At 41.6% G+C, this 18,997-nt stretch overlaps 1 protein-coding gene and 1 pseudogene across 13 annotated transcripts in view, besides 3 other annotated features; both read left to right on the top strand.

Annotated features, from left to right (window-relative positions):
* BCAT1 (branched chain amino acid transaminase 1) overlaps positions 1 to 18,997 on the top strand; it is a 139,317-nt gene that overhangs the window by 19,272 nt on the left and 101,048 nt on the right. The window lies entirely within an intron of this gene.
* Positions 2,181 to 2,796: an enhancer, noted in NCBI's record as "H3K27ac hESC enhancer chr12:25080207-25080822 (GRCh37/hg19 assembly coordinates)". NCBI's record gives its function as "activates a minimal SCP1, AML or CMV promoter by ChIP-STARR-seq in primed H9 embryonic stem cells {active_cell/tissue: H9 hESC(primed)}" and the evidence as "EXISTENCE:reporter gene assay evidence [ECO:0000049][PMID:30033119]".
* Positions 4,032 to 4,649: an enhancer, noted in NCBI's record as "H3K27ac-H3K4me1 hESC enhancer chr12:25078354-25078971 (GRCh37/hg19 assembly coordinates)". NCBI's record gives its function as "activates a minimal SCP1, AML or CMV promoter by ChIP-STARR-seq in primed H9 embryonic stem cells {active_cell/tissue: H9 hESC(primed)}" and the evidence as "EXISTENCE:reporter gene assay evidence [ECO:0000049][PMID:30033119]".
* DAD1P1 (defender against cell death 1 pseudogene 1) lies at positions 11,685 to 12,367 on the top strand (annotated as a pseudogene).
* Positions 18,320 to 18,614: a silencer, noted in NCBI's record as "tiled region #2351; K562 Repressive non-DNase unmatched - State 14:Gen5'". NCBI's record gives its function as "represses a minimal TATA promoter and a strong SV40 promoter by Sharpr-MPRA in K562 cells {active_cell/tissue: K562}" and the evidence as "EXISTENCE:reporter gene assay evidence [ECO:0000049][PMID:27701403]".

Below are 18,997 nucleotides of genomic sequence, written 5' to 3'. Positions count from 1 at the left end.
AATGGTCACAGACAAATGAGATTTTTAACCATTTCCTCTAATTCATGGTCCACACTTAACCCCGTGGGTCCTGGAAACAGCAGCTGGAGAATGGAGAGGAAAGTGATGTGGGAGAGAGAAAACTTTCTTTACCCTTTTCATAACTGAGTTTATGAAGTAAACTGACAGTAGAAAGATAAATAGGAGAAAAGACATAAATTTATTTTGTGCGTACACATGGGAGTCCCATAAAATATGAGACTCAAAGAAAGGCCAGATGATTGAAGTTTATATAGTATTCCTGAGCTACAGAAAAGGAATCAGGGCTTGGGGCTTATTGAGGGGAGGTGGTGACAGGTTATAAGAGGGTGAGGAGAGGAAGTGTATAGCAAGCATAGGTTGTCTTGTTATGCAGATAAAAAGTCTCTCAGGTGATAAAAGTTGTCTCAGAGTCCCCCATCAGAAGAATAGGTAATAGCCTGTGACAAGGTCTACCTGTCCAATCTTCTCCCTGGTGATAAAATCTTCCCTGGTTGATGAGATTCTTATCAAAGTTTTTTTCTTTATAGATATAAATTTTGTTTACAAAAAGACAGTTTTTCAGAGCTACTCCTGTGTCTACAGTGTCTCAGAATAACTAACTGGAAATACATCAAATAAGCATATCCTGATGTGGCATATTCTGGTCATATTTTGGGATGGTGCGTCCTGAGCTCCAATGCTGAAAAAACAGGAACCCCATTTCTGTTGGATGTGCCAACCTAAAATAATCAAAAGGGTCAGAATCTAGTTTAAAGATACTTTATTCAAGTGCAAAGTTTAAGGACAGTGCTAGGGAAACACGGATCCCAAAGAATGGAAGTCAGCGTTCTGAACTTTAGAAGTTTGGGATTGTTTATAGAGAGAGAGTTTAGGGAAGCTTAACAGAATTTCAACATCTTTCTGTGTAAGGCTTAATGCCTAGTTACAATGATCTGATTAGTCAAGGTGGTCACTTTCATTTGAGAAAGGCATATTTAACATTTCACGGGCTGGGAGCGGTGGTTCATGCCTGTAATCTCAGCACTTTGGGAGGCCGAGGCGGGCAGATCATCTGAGGTCAGGAGTTCGAGGCCAGCCTGGCCAATATGGGGAAACCCCTTCTCTACTAAAAATACAATACAATAAAATAAAATAAAATAAAAAAAATTAGCCGGGCATGGTGCACGTGCCTGTAATCCCAGCTACTTGGGAAGCTGAGGCAGGAGAATTGCTTGAACCTGGGAGGCAGAGGTTGTGGTGAGCTGAGATTGCACCATTGCACTCCAGCCTGGGCAACAAGAATGAAACTCCATCTCAAACAACAACAACAACAACAACAACAACAACAACAACAACAACAACAAACATTTCACACTGAAGGTGTAACAGTCATGGGTTTGTATTTTCGTTTTTCTTGGTTTTTTTTTTTTTTTTTTGAGACTGTCTCGCTCTGTATTGCAGGCTGGCATGGCACAATCACAGCTCGCTGCAGCTTCGATTTTGTGGGCTCAAGTGATCCTACCACCTCAGTCTCCCGACTAGCTGGGACCACAGTCATGTGCCACCACACCCGGCTAATTTATTTTTTATTTCTTATAGAGACCAGATCCCCCTTTTGCCCAGGCTGGTCTCAAACTCCTGGACTCAAACAATTCTCCTGCCTCAGCCTCCCAAAGTGCCTGGATTACAGGCATGGGCTACTGTGCTCATCCCATGGGGTCTTTTGTGCCAACTGGTGTGAGTTAGGTACAGGACAATAAAGGAGGCAGTTAATCCATTAATCCATAACAAAGATCAGTGAAGGGGGAAGGTCTGGTCTCTGGTCTCTCCTAGTCATTTACAGAACTAGAACGATGAGAAGAGAGTGAATCTATAACCTAAGAAGCAGAATTGCAAACATGCTATGTGACTCAGTTTCCAGTACTTAACTTCTCCCTTGGCATAATAAATAATTTTAGAGAGTTTTAAGAATTTTGTTTTCTTTTACAGATGTTAACAACCTCAGCTTGCTGGGGGCTGGTGGTGGTGGCTGCTCAGACAGTAAAGCATTGAATGCAATGTGAGGTCAAAGTTTTATTACAGATCATACCGGTCTTTTAAGTACTTGCAGCAAGATTTTCCTAATACTTAAAAGTGACTGGAAACTCAATAGGATCAGTGTGATCTTCTCCAGATAGGGATGGTAGATTTTTGAAAGTGGGTGTGAAGGGCAGTAATGAGAGAAAAATAAAACTATTTCTGGTTGTACTCTCCCAAGTCAAGGTCATTCAATGAATGGTTATATAGATTTGCATCAAAAGTCCCTGTTTTCAGCCTCACCTTTGGAAACACCTGGATTCTCTATTCTGAGACTTTCTGAGATGAGGGAAAGGTGGCTTCTCATCAGTATCTCCTTCTTTGTGCAATACAGTTTCAGTTCTTTCTAATCTACAGAGTTAGTTCCTTCTCTACTGTCAGCTTTCTACCTTCCAAAATGTGTTAATGTCACTCATTATCATGTTTCCCATTCTCTTTCCCTTATGGTTTAAACTTTAAAAGACAATGGTATTTGTTTAAGTGAATATCTAAAAAGATGTGGAGAAAGATTCATGTGTTCAGTCTACCATGTTTAATTGGAGTCACTGGTAGATTTTTAAGGAAAAATAACATTCTAGGTTTTTCCAGTATTGCTATGTAGCTTGTCTATGTAGATCACCTTGCATTCTTCTGTTTCTCTCTTATAACTTGATTTTTTTCTTTTCTTTTCTTTTCTTTTTTTTTCGAGACAGAGTCTCACTTTGTCACCCAGGCTGGAGTACAGTGGCACAATCTCGTCTCATTGCTGCCTCCATCTCCTGGGTTCAAGTGATTCTCCCACCTCACCTTCCCAAATAGCCGGGATTACAGACATCTTATAACTTGATTTTTACTCATTTCATTATCATCCAAGAGATGAAATTTAACTCAAAGCAAATGACTATTGTTTCAAATACAAATCTTAATCAGGGAGAAAAGATTATAACTTATAGTTGAACTGGGGTTTGGAGATTATATGTGTTTTTTAAAATTATTCTGTCCCACATGTAACATACAAGTGAGGATTTTAAAAATTTGTCTGCAGTTTTTTTTTTTTTAATTGATCATTCTTGGGTGTTTCTCGCAGAGGGGGATTTGGCAGGGTCATAGGACAATAGTGGAGGGAAGGTCAGCAGATAAACGAGTGAACAAAGGTCTCTGGTTTTCCTAGGCAGAGGACCCTGCGGCCTTCCGCAGTGTTTGTGTCCCTGGGTACTTGAGATTAGGGAGTGGTGATGACTCTTAAAGAGCATGCTGCCTTCAAGCATCTGTTTAACAAAGCACATCTTGCACCGCCCTTAATCCATTTAACCCTGAGTGGACACAGCACATGTTTCAGAGAGCACCGGGTTGGGGGTAAGGTCATAGATCAACAGCATCCCAAGGCAGAAGAATTTTTCTTAGTACAGAACAAAATGGAGTCTCCTATGTCTACTTCTTTCTACACAGACACAGCAACAATCTGATTTCTCTATCTTTTCCCCACATTTCCCCCTTTTCTATTCCACAAAACCGCCATTGTCATCATGGCCCGTTCTCAATGAGCTGTTGGGTACACCTCCCAGACGGGGTGGCGGCCGGGCAGAGGGGCTCCTCACTTCCCAGAAGGGGTGGCCTGGCAGAGGCACCCCCAACCTCCCTCCCGGACGGGGCGGCTGGCCAGGCGGGGGCTGCCCCCAACTTCCCAGACGGGGTGGCTGCTGGGCGGAGGGGCTCTTTACTTCTCAGATGGGGCGGCTGCCGGGTGGAGGGGCTCCTCACTTCTCAGACGGGGCGGCCGGGCAGAGGCGCTCCTCACCTCCCAGACGGGGCAGCAGGGCAGAGGCGCTCCCCACATCTCAGACGATGGGCGGCCGGGCAGAGACGCTCCTCACTTCCTAGACGGGATGGCAGCCGGGAAGAGGCGCTCCTCACTTCCCAGACTGGGCAGCCAGGCAGAGGGGCTCCTCACATCCCAGACGATGGGCAGCCAGGCAGAGAAGCTCCTCACTTCCCAGATGGGGTGGCGGCCGGGCAGAGGCTGCAATCTCGGCACTTTGGGAGGCCAAGGCAGGCGGCTGGGAGGTGGAGGTTGTAGCGAGCCGAGATCACGCCACTACACTCCAGCTTGGGCAACATTGAGCACTGAGTGAACGAGACTCCGTCTGCAATCCCGGCACCTCGGGAGGCCGAGGCTGGCAGATCACTCCCGGTTAGGAGCTGGAGACCAGCCCGGCCAACACAGCGAAACCCCGTCTCCACCAAAAAAATACGAAAACCAGTCAGGCATGGTGGCGCGCGCCTGCAATCACAGGCACTCGGCAGGCTGAGGCAGGACAATCAGGCAGGGAGGTTGCAGTGAGCAGAGATGGCAGCAGTACAGTCCAGCTTCGGCTTGGCATCAGAGGGAGACCGTGGAAAGAGAGGGAGAGGGAGACCGTGGGGAGAGGGAGAGGGGGAGGGGGAGCTGCAATTTTTTATTTAGCAATTTCCAAACCTATTGTGTTAGGCAGGGTTCTCCAGGGAAACAGAACCAATAGGGCATATCTATATCTATATTTATATCTTTATCTATATCTATATCTATAATCTTTCTATCTATCTATCAAGAGATCGAGAGAGAGAGATTTATTTTAAGGAATTGGTTCATGTGATTGTGGGAGCTGGCAAGTCTGAAATCCATAGGGCAAGTTGGTCAGCTGGAAATTCTGGTAAGAGTTGATGTTGCAGTCGTGAGTCTGAAATTTGCAGGGCAGGTCAGGTACAGTATCTATTGCAATTGCAGTCCTGAGGCCAAATTCCTTCTTCAGGAAACCTCCGTCTTTTTTGCTGTTAAGGCCTTCAACTAATTGGATGAAGCCCTCCCACATTGAGGGCAATCTGCTTTACTCAAAGTCTGCTGATTTAAATGGTAATCACATCTAAAAAATACTTTCACAGCAACATTTGAACTTGTGTTGTCTAAGCAATTGGGCACTATAGCTTAGCCAAGCAGACACATGAAATTAACCATCACTCTGTAGAGATGAAAGAACTACTGTTTCAAAAAACAACTGTTTTTGAATCCGTCATTTATCAACGGATTCACCCAATGGTTAACCTTTCTATATGCTTTCTCTTTCTCCCAAGTACTGAATCATATGAAAATAAATTATGGTTGTGATATTTCCTATCTAAATACTTCATATGGGACATTCTCCTACATAGCACACCTAAGAAGATTAGTATTAATTCAGAGAGATCATGTCATATCTGGTTCATATATAATTTTCCCTAGCTGACCTCAAAATGTGTTTGTTTTGTTTACATATTACTCTTTATAGTTATGTTTCTTTTAATACGGATCAATATTTGTGTGTTTTTGCTGCTATTTTTTTTAATGACATTGTTTTGAATAATTCAGGCTCATTGGCTATTTCACATCCTGAATTTCTCTAATTTTATCTTTATGATTAGAGCCAGGCTCTAATTCTTGGCAAGAATAACACTGAAGTGAGGTTGTGTACTCCTAATTGCCCTGCATCAAAGACACATGATATGCATTGGTTCCTGCATTAGTCATGTTAAGTTTGATTAGCTGGTGAAGGTGGTCGCCACCATTTCTCACTCTTGTAAAGGGACATTTTCTCCTTTTAAATTAATATGTAATTTGTGGCACAAGACTTTGAGACTGTGTAAATATCCCATTCTCTGACAACCTTTCTTCTGATGACTTTAGCATTAACTGATCTAATTATATCATTCTTGGCATTGAGTAGCATTCTTGTGTAAAGAAGGGGTTCTCTTTCTCTCCCTCCTCTCATTATAATTTGTTACTGTTATTTTCTTACAAGTTACTAAGAATTACTCAAAGGCAGTATTTTTCAATAAATCATTGGTAATTTATGGTCTTCTCACTCTAGAAAAGGGAGGATGGGTCAGAAAGCTGAGGGGAAAAAAAGGGAGGAAACGAGAATGTATATTATCGACATAATCGGTTGAAAATGTCTAGTGCTGTAATTATGCCATCATGCAGATTAAAAAGCCACCTGTGAAAAATCAACTTGTATTGTTTTGTTTTGTTTGATTTTTAATAAATCCTTATAGTGTATGAATAAAAATTAAATTAATTGATCAGTATCTTCACTAATGGCAGAGAAGGGGATGGACTGAGCAGATTCTGCTTTTCACTCTGATATTTGTTAATTGCCCTGTGTGGTCTGAAGACCTGGGTTCTAGTACCAGCTCTCCCTCTGCAGACAGGTGTGTTACTTTGGTCAAGGCAATCAATCTTCTTGATACTCAGTTTGGTTCTCTCTGATTTGAGCATAAGAAATATACTTGAAGGCCGGGCATGGTGGCTTATGCCTGTAATTCCAGCACTATGGGAAGCCGAGGTGGGAGGATCGCTTGGGCTCAGGAGTTTGAGACCAGGCTGGGCAACATGGCAAAACCTCAACTCTACAAAAAACAAACAAAAAATTAGCCAGGCATGGTGGTGCACGCCTGTAGTCCCAGCTACTCAGGAGGTTGAGGCAGGAGAATCCTGGGAGGCAGAGGTTGCAGTGATCTGAGATTGTGCCACTGCACTCCAGCCTGGGAGCCTGGGTGACAGAGAGAGACCCTGTCTAAAATATATATATACACACACTTGAATGCTTCATGTCCCTTGCTCAGTGACAGCCCCGTCCTCTGCTTCTGCACAGTTGACCAAGGCTTCTCAGTCTACTCCTGTGTAGAAAAGAATTAAAGCAGGCCTGAGGCTGCTAGTCTTAGAAAGGCTTGCAAAGTTGGCCCTTGTCTGGTGTCTGGGAACTTGAATTTCTGGAGGGTTCTCACCATTCCCTGAAAAGAATGGCTCACGATGCCTAAAATATTTGTACAAACAATGAAGTTTCTGCTGAACATCTGCTTCCTTCTGGGAGTCTGGAATTTTAGGATGTGCTAGGTAGGGGTGTTTACATGACAGCCCCACATAAAAACCTTGGGCACTGAGTGTCTAATGAGATTCCCTAGTAAGTAATATTTTACACATATTATCACAACTCATTGCTGGAGGAGTTAAGTGCATCCTGTGTGACTCCACTGGGAGAGGACTCTGGGAAGCACATGTCTGATTTCCTTTGTCCCATGTGCCTTTTCCTTTTGCTGATTTTTGCCTTGTAAATTTTTTTTTTTTTTTTTGAGAGACAGAGTCTTACTCTGTTGCCCAGACTGGAGTTCAGTGGCCCCATGTCGGCTCACTGCAGCCTCTGCCTCCTGGATTCAAGCAATTCTCCTGCCTCAGCCTCCCGAGTAGCTGGGACTACAGGCGCGCGCTGCCACACCGGCTAATTTTTGTATTTTTAGTAGAGACGGGGTTTCACCATGTTGGCCAGGATGGTCTTGATCTCCTGACCTCGTGATCCGCCTGCCTCGGCCTCCCAAAGTGCTGGAATTATAGGCCTGGGCCACTGTGCCTGGCCATAATTTTTATCCTGTAATAAATTATAGTCGAAAGTATTGAGTCCTGTGAATCAACTTAGAGAATCACCAAACTGCTTCCAATTTTCTCATATGTAAAATGGGTTGCTATAATAATGATGATATCTACCTTATAGGGTTGTTTTAAGTATGAAAAATATGGTGAAATATGTGTGAAACTAGGGGCCGGATGTAGGATGAGTCATACAGTGGGTGGTTATTATTACGGATCATATTAACTCTTCAGGTAAAAACCATCTTGTAGCTGGGCAAGGTGGCACATGCCTGTAGTCCCAGCTACTTGGGGGACTGAGGCAGGTGGATCGCTTGAGCCTAGGAGTTCAAGGCTGTAGTACGCTATGATCACGTCTATCAATAGCCACTGGACTCCAGCCTGGACAATGTAATGAGAGTCTGTCTCAAAAAAAAGGAACAATCTTGTGTTTGCGTGTGTGCTCATGTCTTTGTTGGAATAATACTGACACAGTCACTCAAATTAACTCTCAAATCTTTGATTATTCATTTGATGGGAACAACAGGTTTATGTGCCAGCTTATCAGGACCCCTAGTTCTTTCATTAAAGTGTGTATGTGTGTGTGTATGTGTGTATGTGTGCACATGTGTGCTAGTTTTCTTATCTAACGACGAAGTCCTTTGGGAGGTTTACTTTTTCATTACTATTTTTTTCATGCTTTCCTTTGATGTGCACCTGGCAATTTATAGAGCCAATGTGTACTACATATTCTGCTGCAGAAAATGACAGAGGTGAGGAAGGAGCAGGAAGCAGATTTAGAAAGGAATGTTACAGTTTATCAAGTTGTGACTAATGGAAGCTATTAAAACAAAAGGTACCAACCCATCTTAAATATTCACTGCCTCTACAACTATTTTTCTATAACTGTTGTTCCTTGTCAGCTCTGGGGTGGAGGGAATATTCCTGAATGTTTTATTAAGTAATTCAAAGATCTTCCTAGGTATGTGTATCAAAGATCCTATGATGTATCTGTCTTGTAAATTGAGACTGGCATATATTGGGCTTACATTACTGGGAAAAATGTATGTCATCATCATTGGTGAAAAAGAGTTTCCATAGCAGTTTTTTCTAAGTAGAGAGATAAATGAATCAGACTTTTGGAGGAGGTATGTTTTAACTCACTGGAGGATCACACCAAGTCTGAACATCTAAGGAACCCTAGTGGAAAACTGGTTTTCCTGTATGCTGCTCTAGCGATCTGAGGAAAGGCCTAAAAAAAGCCAGTGTCCCTGTGATATTGTGAAATACATATATGTGGTCTTTGTTCCTGTTTCCTGGCATACAAGTACTAAAAATCCTTGGAATCTCCAAAGTGCTGTCTTTTTGTATATTAGTGTTGACTGATAGCTTCAGAGTGGGGCTGGTCAAGTTGATCACCAATGGCCAGTGGTTTAATCAGTCATGCCTATGTAATGAAGCCTCCATGAAAATCCAAAGGGAATGGACTGGGGAGCTTCTAAGAAGTGTTTTTTACCTTCCCGTGAGCCTCCTGTGCTGAACACGTGGAGGGTCACGGGAAGGTAAGCAAAAATTCATTCACATGCTGGGAGGGTGGCACATCCCAACTCCACGAGGACAAAAGCTCCTGTGCTCAGAACCCTTCCAGACTTGGACCTTGTATCTCTTCATTGGCTTTTATTTGTATTTTAAAAAATATCCTGAGTGATAAACTGGTAGATGTAAGTGTCTTCCTCAGTTCTGTGAACCACGCTAGCAAATTAATCAAACCGGAAGAGGGGGTCATGGCAACCCCAACTTGAAACCTGTTGGTCAGCAGTTCCAGAGACCTGAACTTATGACTGGTTGGAAGGACGGGGTGCTCTTGTGGGACTGAGCCCTCAACTTGTGGATCTGATGCTATCTCTGGGTAGACAGTGTTGGAGCTGAATTGGAGGACACCTAGCTTGTGTCCACTGCAGAACTGATTGCTTGCTTCCTGCTGGGGAGAAATCCCTATATATTTTGGGGTCCAGAAGTCTTCCGTGTTGATTGTTTTTGTGTGAGAGCAGAGGAAAAATGGTTTGAGAGTTTTTCGGGAAACAGCCCCTCTTAGTATAGTGGTAGAAACACTCCAAAAATAAAATATGCTACCCCAAAAATAAAAAATGAAAATAAAAATAAAAATCTGGAGTGGTCAGTTTGCCAAGAGGATTTATGGAGCATCTAAGGTCAAGCATTACTTCTCAGCCCTGCAGCAGGCCTCTAATTAAGCCATGCCACAGAGTGCGGTTTGCAGAGAGGTGGAGTTCCTGTGGATTCATTCTTCTCTCTAAAATTATAAATAACGCAGCTTCCAAACATGCCATATTACCTCACAAGGTCTAAAGACTCAATATGAATCTTCAACTTAACAATTATAACTGACACAGATTGAGATCTTCCTGGATGCTGAAATAGGCTTTACATGATTTATCTCATTTAGTTCTCATAAAACTCTATTATTAATATTATTTTACAGATAGAGAAATGGAAGCACAGAGAGGGTAAGTGTATTAGTCCATTTTTATGCTGCTAATAAAGACATACCCAAGACAGGGTAATTTATACAGAAAAAGAGGTTTAATGGACTCACATTTCCACATGGCTGGGAGGCCTCACAATCATGGCAGAAGGCAAAAGGCACTTCTTACCTGGTGGTGGCAAGACAGAAAATGAGAACCAAGCGAAAGGGGTTTCCCCTTATAAAACCATCAGGTAACATGAGACAATTATTCACTACCACAGAAACTATATGGGGGAAACCGCCCCCATGATTCAGTTATCTTCCATTGGGTCCCTCCCACAACACGTGGAGCTACAATTCAAGATGAGATTTGTGTGGAGACATAGCTAACCCATATCAGTAAGTAATTAGACAAACCTTGCAAAGCTAGTAAGTGGTATTGCTGGAATTAAATCTGCCAATGTCACTCCAGAGTCTATGTGATTTACTGGTATATTATAGGGTCTACCTATAAGCTTGATAACCTTATGTTAGAACAAATAACCATGACATATTCTGTTCAGTAGTTTGCATTTCCTTTTGACTCCTACAGGGGAGGAGGCCGAGGTTCAGGGACATTAAAGTGGGGTTTAGAGACATTAGGTGGTTTACCCAAGCTTTATCTACTAGATACTAGATAATTGTCTATCTGACAATAAAGCTAGAACTTACACCCAGCTGGACAATGGAGCTACAGCTTAAAACAAAATCTTCTAATGAGCTCAGAACTCATGGCTTAATAAGATTTGGGAAAAGTCCTGCGGACATTTCACTGTCTATCCAGAAATGCGAGGAAGTTAGGAGAAAAGGCAAAGTATCTCATAGACAGATAAAGGCAGTTCAGTAAGTAGCCTGAATAAATAGCCATATTTAAAATCTAATTTGGTTCTTTTGTGCCTAACACAATTGACTTTATGCTGGTATCTATTTTCTGCTCTGTCTCTCTTTCTGTCTCTACTTATGTGTGTATGCATGTGTTATAAAATATATCAGCCCATTGATCAATTTTTAATTTAAGCAAAAACATGGTAGATTAATATATTCAATCAATTTATTGAGTAGATATTTATCGAGGCTCACACATTTATCTGACTGTGTACTAAGCACTGGAAACCCAAAGAGAATGAAGTCACTGCCTAGACAGTTGGAGGCTGACACATAAACAAGCAGGGTAATAATCAAGTGTCATAACTAGTCTATTACATGCAATGTTAAACTAGCATCTCTACCATGCAAAACTTGTGCTCTTGGGGATACAGGAAGACTTTCCAGAGAAGTACACAGGACAGGAATGTGTTAGGAAACCAGTCAGTTCCCAGGTCCTCGATCAGGTCACAGTGACTTGCGATTCTATTTTGAACATAGGTCTTAAATCTTTATTTTGATAGCAAGGGTTTTAAACTTTTGATATATGATATACTTCTGAAAATCAAATTTCATATTCTAAAATTAAGTATTTTTGCCCTTAACTAACTTGAACATAATACTATAATACATTAACATATATTATTAATAATAAATAGGACCCCTGGAAGTCCAAGAGAGACATGAGGCTTATTTGGTATGTTAAAATCATACAGGAAGTGTTGTTAAATAAGAAATGGTGTTACACTTTCTTTGAGTTATATTTATATGGATATGTTGTTAATATGTGTTCCAACATTGTATGAGATTCCTAAAAATCTGATATGGACATCCAGTGTGGTTGTTGGGTCCTCTATGAGCCTAGGGAGCACTGGCCGGTTACCTTGCATCCATTCATGTCAGCGTTGGTAGTGTCAGGCACCCGATGGTTCTTAGAAGAGTACTTAGCTCTACTCTGCAGTGTCTGAAGTTGCTGGATATATACCTGCTGTATAAACTGCTGACTAGGGCGCTGCAGTTTACTTACTGTCTTCTCATGGGGACCTTCCCCTTCAACTCTTTCCTCTTGGGTTTCACATCTTGGGTGGGGAGTTTCATCCTAGTAGTTTGCCTGAGAATACAGGTGAACCCACAGAACAAAGTGGACTTCGAAAGCATCTCCTTGGAGTGAGACTTTGCTTCTTTCTCTTTGCTAGCACCATCTTGTACCTTATCGTCATGAACTTTGTTGGCTGAATCATTCCCATTTACTTAATTGAAGAGTAAGAGACTGGAACAATGCTCACTTTGATTTTCCTGGATAAGAGTTAAGAGTTCTTGAGATGGCAGCTTGTTTGACACATGAATTTTCTTCAAATTTGTGCTTACTACCAACTGATTTGGTGTGGAGGAGAGCCCAGAGAAGTTCCCTCTCTCTGTCAGAACAACTTTGTAACATTTATTAACCTGACTTCTGCCTTCAATTAACTGTAACCTTTTGCCTTCCAAATTAAAAAGTTCCACATTACTCCAAAAATAAAAAGTGAAAATAAAAATAAAAGGCTGATATGTCATGGTATATGCAGTAAATTGCTTTATTCTGATTTTTTTTTCTAAAAGCCTTTTGCAAATCCTGAAGTGCTGTGTATTCAAGGAAATTCATGAAAGGGACCTTGACAAGTAGTCTTAAATACAGGTTTCTGATAACTTTGGAGATCACACCTTTGGACTAGGTAAAAACATCCAAAACTCGTCTGGGCGCAGTGGCTCACGCCTGTAATCCCAGCACTTTGGGAGGCCAAGGCAGGCGGATCACGAGGTCAGGAGATCGAGACCATCCTGGCTAACACGGTGAAACCCCATCTCTACTAAAAACACAAAAACAAAATTAGCCGGGCGTGGTGGCGGGCGCCTGTAGTTCCAGCTACCCGGCAGGCTGAGGCGGAAGAATGGCGCGAAGCGGCAAGACGGAGCTTGCAGTGAGCCGAGATCGCGCCACTGCACTCCAGCCTCAAAAAAAAAAAAAAAAAAAAAAAAAGTCCAAAGCTCTAATGAAAAACTGATGCATTCATGCAGATTGCTAACCCAACATCAAGGAGAACGAGAATTACATGGGACTGAGTGAATGAAGGATTGAAATTACTATTTTAAAGGGTTTTTGTTTGAAACATTACTGATTTTTTTTATGTTTTGTTTTCCAGACTCAAGAAAATATTTTTTTTCTTTTGAGCTATTTATAGCTTACAGCATTGGGGTAAAGTATACTTCTGTGAGCAAAATGGAAACATTTACCTTTCTTTCTACCTGAATTCTTCAGAATTTGGAAACTATTCATTAGTGTTCTTATTTTCTGGCAATATAGTTATTTGCATAAGTTCAATAAGAACCTATTTTCGGCTGTGCATGGTGGCTCATGCCTGTAATCCCAGCACCTTGGGAGGGCGAGGCCGGTGGATCACAAGGTCAGGAGTTTGAGAACAGCCTGGCCAAGATGGTGAAACCCCGTCTCTACTAAAACTACAAAGATTAACCAGGCGCGGTGGCAGGCGCCTGTAATCCCAGCTACTCGGGAGGCTGAGGCAGGAGAATAGCTTGAACCTTGGGTGGCAGAGGTTGCAGTGAGCCGAGATCGCACCACTGCGCTCCAGCCTAGGGGACAAGAGCGAGACTCTATCTCAAAACAAACAAACAAAAAAACAAAAAGCAAACAAACAAAAAAAGAGCTTATTTTCTTTTGTAACTGGACACATGGAAACAGTGGTTATTTTACCAAGGCTTTGACTGGAATGTCTTTTTTTTGAGTGCAACCGGACTGCTTCGAGGGATTGAGGTTGACTTTATACAGCCAGTAGACTTGGAAAAAGACACACCTGGTACCTTGCCCACACAATTCCTTTATAGCGTTTCTAACTTTGCAATAAGTAAAGAATGTCACTTTCTGACAGGCCCAGGGACCTCAAGATATTTTGGAGACGTTGAAAAGAGAGCAATTCACCCAATTCATACAGGTTTTACAGGCACAGTCTGATGGCGAATCTTTGGCTTGGCTTCATTGCTTCAAGAGTTTGTTTTTTTGACACGGAATCTCACTCTGTCACCCATTCTGGAGTGCAGTGGTGAGATCTTGGCTCACTGAAACCTCTGCTTCCTGGATTCAAGTGATTCTCCTGCTTCAGCCTCCCGAGTAGCTGGGATTACAGGCATGTGTTGCTACTCCCAGCTAATTTTTTGTATTTTTGGTAGAGATGAGGTTTCACCATGTTGCCCAGGGTGGTCTTGAACTCCTGACCTCAGGTGATCCACCCACCTCAGCCTCCCAAAGTGCTGGGATTACAGGCGTGAGCCACTGTGCCCAGCCCTTGAGAGGTTTCAAAAGTCTTAATCTGAGATTCCTTATGAAAAAATTCCAACAAAGCCAACTTAAGAGCCATCCCTGTAGAAAATATATCTATTTAAATATCGTCTGTTTTATGCCACAATGTTTGTTTTGCGTTGCAAGCCGTTATCTCCTAGGCATGGGTAATCCACTTTGAGAGGAAAATCCAGACATCATTGTGCCTAATTTGCTGCCACCTGTGTCTGTGCTGGATCTTACCAGGGTTAGCTTTATTTTCTTTCAACTGGCAAAATTCTGATAAAGCATGTAGCTTCACGGTAGAGCAAAAAGTGTAACTTAATTGAAAGTCATGACTTTCAGGAGTCTAATGATGCTAATATATTTTCTTCTAGAGAGGTGTCTTTATTGTATGTAATTCCCTGAAGAAATGTAAAGATTTATCTAATTCCTATTGCTCTGACAGGCGTGCTCAATAGAAGCATTGAAGTAAAATAAAAATAACCTTTTTAATCTGTGTATTTCTCTTGCCCACCAAGATATTTAATTTTTTTCTTGATCTTTGCTTTTGTTTATGTGAAGATATTTATGTCTATATCATTTCTGTATATATCACAGAAAAGTTTTCACTTGCTTGACATTTTATTCTACAATGATTTTTAGTTTAAGTTTAAAGAATGGCTACATTCAGATTTATTTTCACAACTATAGTCCTGCTAAACTGCCTTTGTTGAAAACTCAGTTTTTATAATAAATAAAAAATATCAAAGCAAAAAAAAAAGAGCCTTCATGATAAATCACCATTCTTACTGCACTTTAAGCAGATAATCATGCCAGAGACTAAACTGACTTTGCAAATAAATTAGTTTTATTATTATTATCTTTGTGGGTAAAAGTTGGGATGACTGTAGAAGAGAAAATTATATTTCAGAAGAAAATTATACCATACTTGTTATTAGATTCTAGTCTTGATAATTGTTTTTTTGAGTTTTTGTTATTTGCCTACAATTTGGGCTGAATCCTGAATTCCTTCCTGGGTACAAGTCTCCAAACTAATGTTTCCTAATTTTTCTACCATTTTTCTGTCTTGGAATCACCAAGCCCTGCAGGCTTTAGCTAGACAACTTGATATAAACTTTGGAAGAAATAATGACAGCAACTTAATATATGAGCAGTGTTCATGTCAGCTGATGTATGGATTACTCAGAAGGTTTACTTGAACACCTGATTCAAACTATAATCCAGAAATATCTGTAAGATTGCCACTGCAATCTGAAGCTACTTCAGAGACTCTAGGAAAATTAGTTTATAGACAACTCCAGATGTTAATCTTTGTTTTTCTTTTGTTTTCATGGAAATGCCTTTTATTAAACATCTGATTGCTTGATTCATAGAGGCCTGACTTTGGTGGAAGCAACACCACTGCCTGAAATGAGATATAACTGTTAACCGTTTAATTGGAGCGGCCTGTTCTCACGACTGCAAGACTAGTTCAATGGCTTATAAAATAATCCACCCGCTGGGCACAGTAGTTCACACCTGTAATCTCAGCACTTTGGGAGGCTGAGGTGGGCAAATTGCTTGAGCTCAGGAGTTCGAGACCAGCCAGAGCAACATGGTGAAACCCTGTCTCTACCAAAAATATAAAAAATTAGCCGGGCATAGTAGCATGTGCCTGTGGTCCCAGCTCCTCGGGAGGTGGATGTGGGAGGATTGCCTGAGCCTGGGAGGCAGAGCTTGCAGTGAGCTGAGATTATGACACTGCACTCTAGCCTGGGCAATACAGTGAGACCCCATCTCAAAAAAAAAAAAAAAAGATAATCTACCAACCCAATTTCTCAACTGGGGAATGTTGGGCTCCTGCTCTCCTGTCTCTGACCTTTCATTCTCCCTTGAGGCTAGCCATCAAGACTACAACCCCTCTTCCCCAAAGTGGGCCATAGAAACAAAACCCCTTTTCCCCAAAGCCAACCATAAAACCTAAAAATAGTACTCTAACTTCCACCACCCCCAGCCTGTCTGTGTAAGGCCATAAAGAAATTATCTGACTCACTTTGTTTGACTGAAGGTTATAAGACCCCCATTCCAGAGAGGGTCCAGCACCACACCCAGAAGGAAGAAATGCATGCTCAGAGAGGCAAGAAGGGTCCAGACAGACAGGCTGTGCTGGATTTCCCTGCTCAGTCTATTAGCATTAGACCATACCTTTTTTGTCCAATCATATTTCTACGTGGCTCTCCATACTTTGTTTAACCTAACCTAAGGGGGCTCAGGGTTTTGGCCTGGGCATTGTCTGTTGGGGAATAGAGTGAGTCATCCCCAGCTCATGGGTTTGCATCCAGTTCTTGTTGTAAAAGGCCCAAAGCCTGTTGGATGGCAACCCTGAGCCATCGTGGAAGGGGGGTTCCAGTTTCACAAATAGATACTCAGACAGCCAAACTACCATCTACTTGGTGCCAACGTTTGCACTGTGGTCAAAGACTTACCTAGCACAGACTGAACAAATCTTCCCATCTGTCACATAAATGTCCCCAAGCAATGTTGAAGCACATGCCAGGATCGGCCTTGCTAGGTCCTGCTTGGTAGATAAGCAAATGGCTTCCTTGTGGTGTTTTTATTCTATTTTGTCTCATTAACACTACAACTTTGTGTTATCTACTTGATAATCTGTAATTGTAAATACATACAGGATTATGTAATTTGTGTAAATACATAATGACAGACTTCTGAAAACTGGTATTTTTTACTTGGTGTCCATTTGAAGCTGTTTTAGGTTCTGTGGCACATGAACCAATGGCATTTAAAAAGCATACTCTCCTTGCTCTTAAAAAAACAAACAAAACAAAACAAAAACTGTCCATTAAAATTTTTGTATTTTTGTAAAGACAGGGTTTCACCATAAAAATGGACAGTTTCCCTTATATCTTTGGGTCTTCGTTCTGTAGGCTCTCGTGTCACATAAAATTATGATCAAATAAATTTGTATGACTTTTCTCCTATTAATCTGCCCCTTGTCAATGATTTTGAGCAACCTTCTGAAGAAAGTGATGGGGAAGTATTCCCTTTGCTGCCACAAGGTATATATCAGATAAGTCAGTCTATTTTCTTGAACATATATCACATTCATAGGAAAAACACTTTTTCCAAAAGATTACTGTCTTCCCAAATACCCACGTTCTCCATTTTTTTTTTTTTTTTTTAGAGATGGGGTCTCACTGTGTTGTCCAGGCTAGTCTCAAGCTTCTGGACTCAAGCAATCCTCTCACCTCAGCTTCCCAAAGTGCTGTGATTACAGACATAAGCCATCACGCCCGGCCCCATTTTCTCCTTTGGGTGTATGTATATTGCTCATTGTCAGGCATCAACCATTTCTCTTCTCTGAGATGGAGTCTCACTCTGTCACCCAGGCTGGAGTGCAGTGGCGCAATCTTGGCTCACTGCAAGCTCTGCCTCCCTGGTTCACGCCATTCTCCTGCCTCAGCCTCCCGAGTAGCTGGGACTACAGGTGCCCACCACTACGCCCGGCTAATTTTTTTGTATTTCTTTTTTGGTAGAGACGGGGTTTCACCGTGTTAGACAGGATGGTCTCAATCTCCTGACCTCGTGATCCGCCCGCCTCGGCCTCCCAAAGTGCTGGGATTACAGGTGTGAGCCACTGCGCCCAGCCCTCTTCTAATTTTTTATATTTATCATGTATTTACTAGAACTGGTTTATTTTCGTGAGCATATGTTGTGGATTCTACTATAAATAATGCACTTAATAATCATTAATAAAACTTAAATCCTTTCCGTCTTGATTGTGGCCTTTTCTTTTTGCTATTAATTTCCTCAGCATAGGTTAACCTGAACTCTTAAAAGCTATTTAGGTACTGGTATAAAACAAAATTTTCTCCAAAGCAATCCAGTATATAATATCTGGATTTTAAAAAAGCAGCCTCATTTAATTAGGATTAATTTCTCCTTTCAGAAGTTAAGTGATTCTGTTTCTGTAAAACGCAAAATTATAAGCTTAATTGTTTTCCACACAGGAAATGAAATTCCTAATCTTTTTATCCAGAATCTTCATGTGTTTGTCTCTCTGTCCATCTGTCACTCCTTTTTAAGGTACCTGGAGATGACCTAGAGGCTTGCCACGCTTAGGGTTTCCTCCCTGTGCAGAAGAAGATGGGAAGTGCAAATGAGGACGAGGGGTGGGGAGGGAAGAGGGAGTCAGGTGATTCAGCAAGTGCAGGAGCCCACAGACTAAGCTCAGGAATTTGCACTTTGTCTGCTCGCAGAGTGAGTTTCATCGTGGTGTGTATATATTGAGATATGCAACAGACTCCACTGGAATGTCAGAAGAACTTATGTTTATTTTTCCTCTAACATGTGGGAAAGATTAAACTGTATTTGTATTTAACTCACATAGATTGGCACGTGCTCATTCTGTGTGTCACCCTGCCACGCTGTCACAAACTTCGAGCAGGGTCCTGAGGGGAGAGGAGGGCATAGCTCCTGCTCCCAGGGGGTTGCCTGTGTAGCCCTGCGCATTCATTCTCTTCCAGAGGGTTGTGATTTGTGGCGGTCTGTGTGAGCCTGGTTAAGGAGAGTTACAGATTATGTCATCTGGTGTTAACTGATAATCTTTGCAAAAGGGACATTGGCTTTAAGAGATGTCTGCAAAAAAAACTCTAAACAAACATAAATAAAAATTTAAAAGGATAAAGCCAGAATAATAATGAAAATATTAGTAATGTAAAACAAGGAAATGTGTCATGTTTTTCATGATAACTAATATTTTTTCAATTTTTTTTTTTTTTTAAGACAGTCTCACTCTGTCACCAGGCTG

This window comes from Homo sapiens, chromosome 12, assembly GCF_000001405.40.
Source record: "Homo sapiens chromosome 12, GRCh38.p14 Primary Assembly".
In the NCBI taxonomy this organism is placed as follows: Eukaryota; Metazoa; Chordata; class Mammalia; order Primates; family Hominidae; genus Homo; species Homo sapiens.
This window is presented reverse-complemented; position numbering and strand designations above follow the sequence as displayed.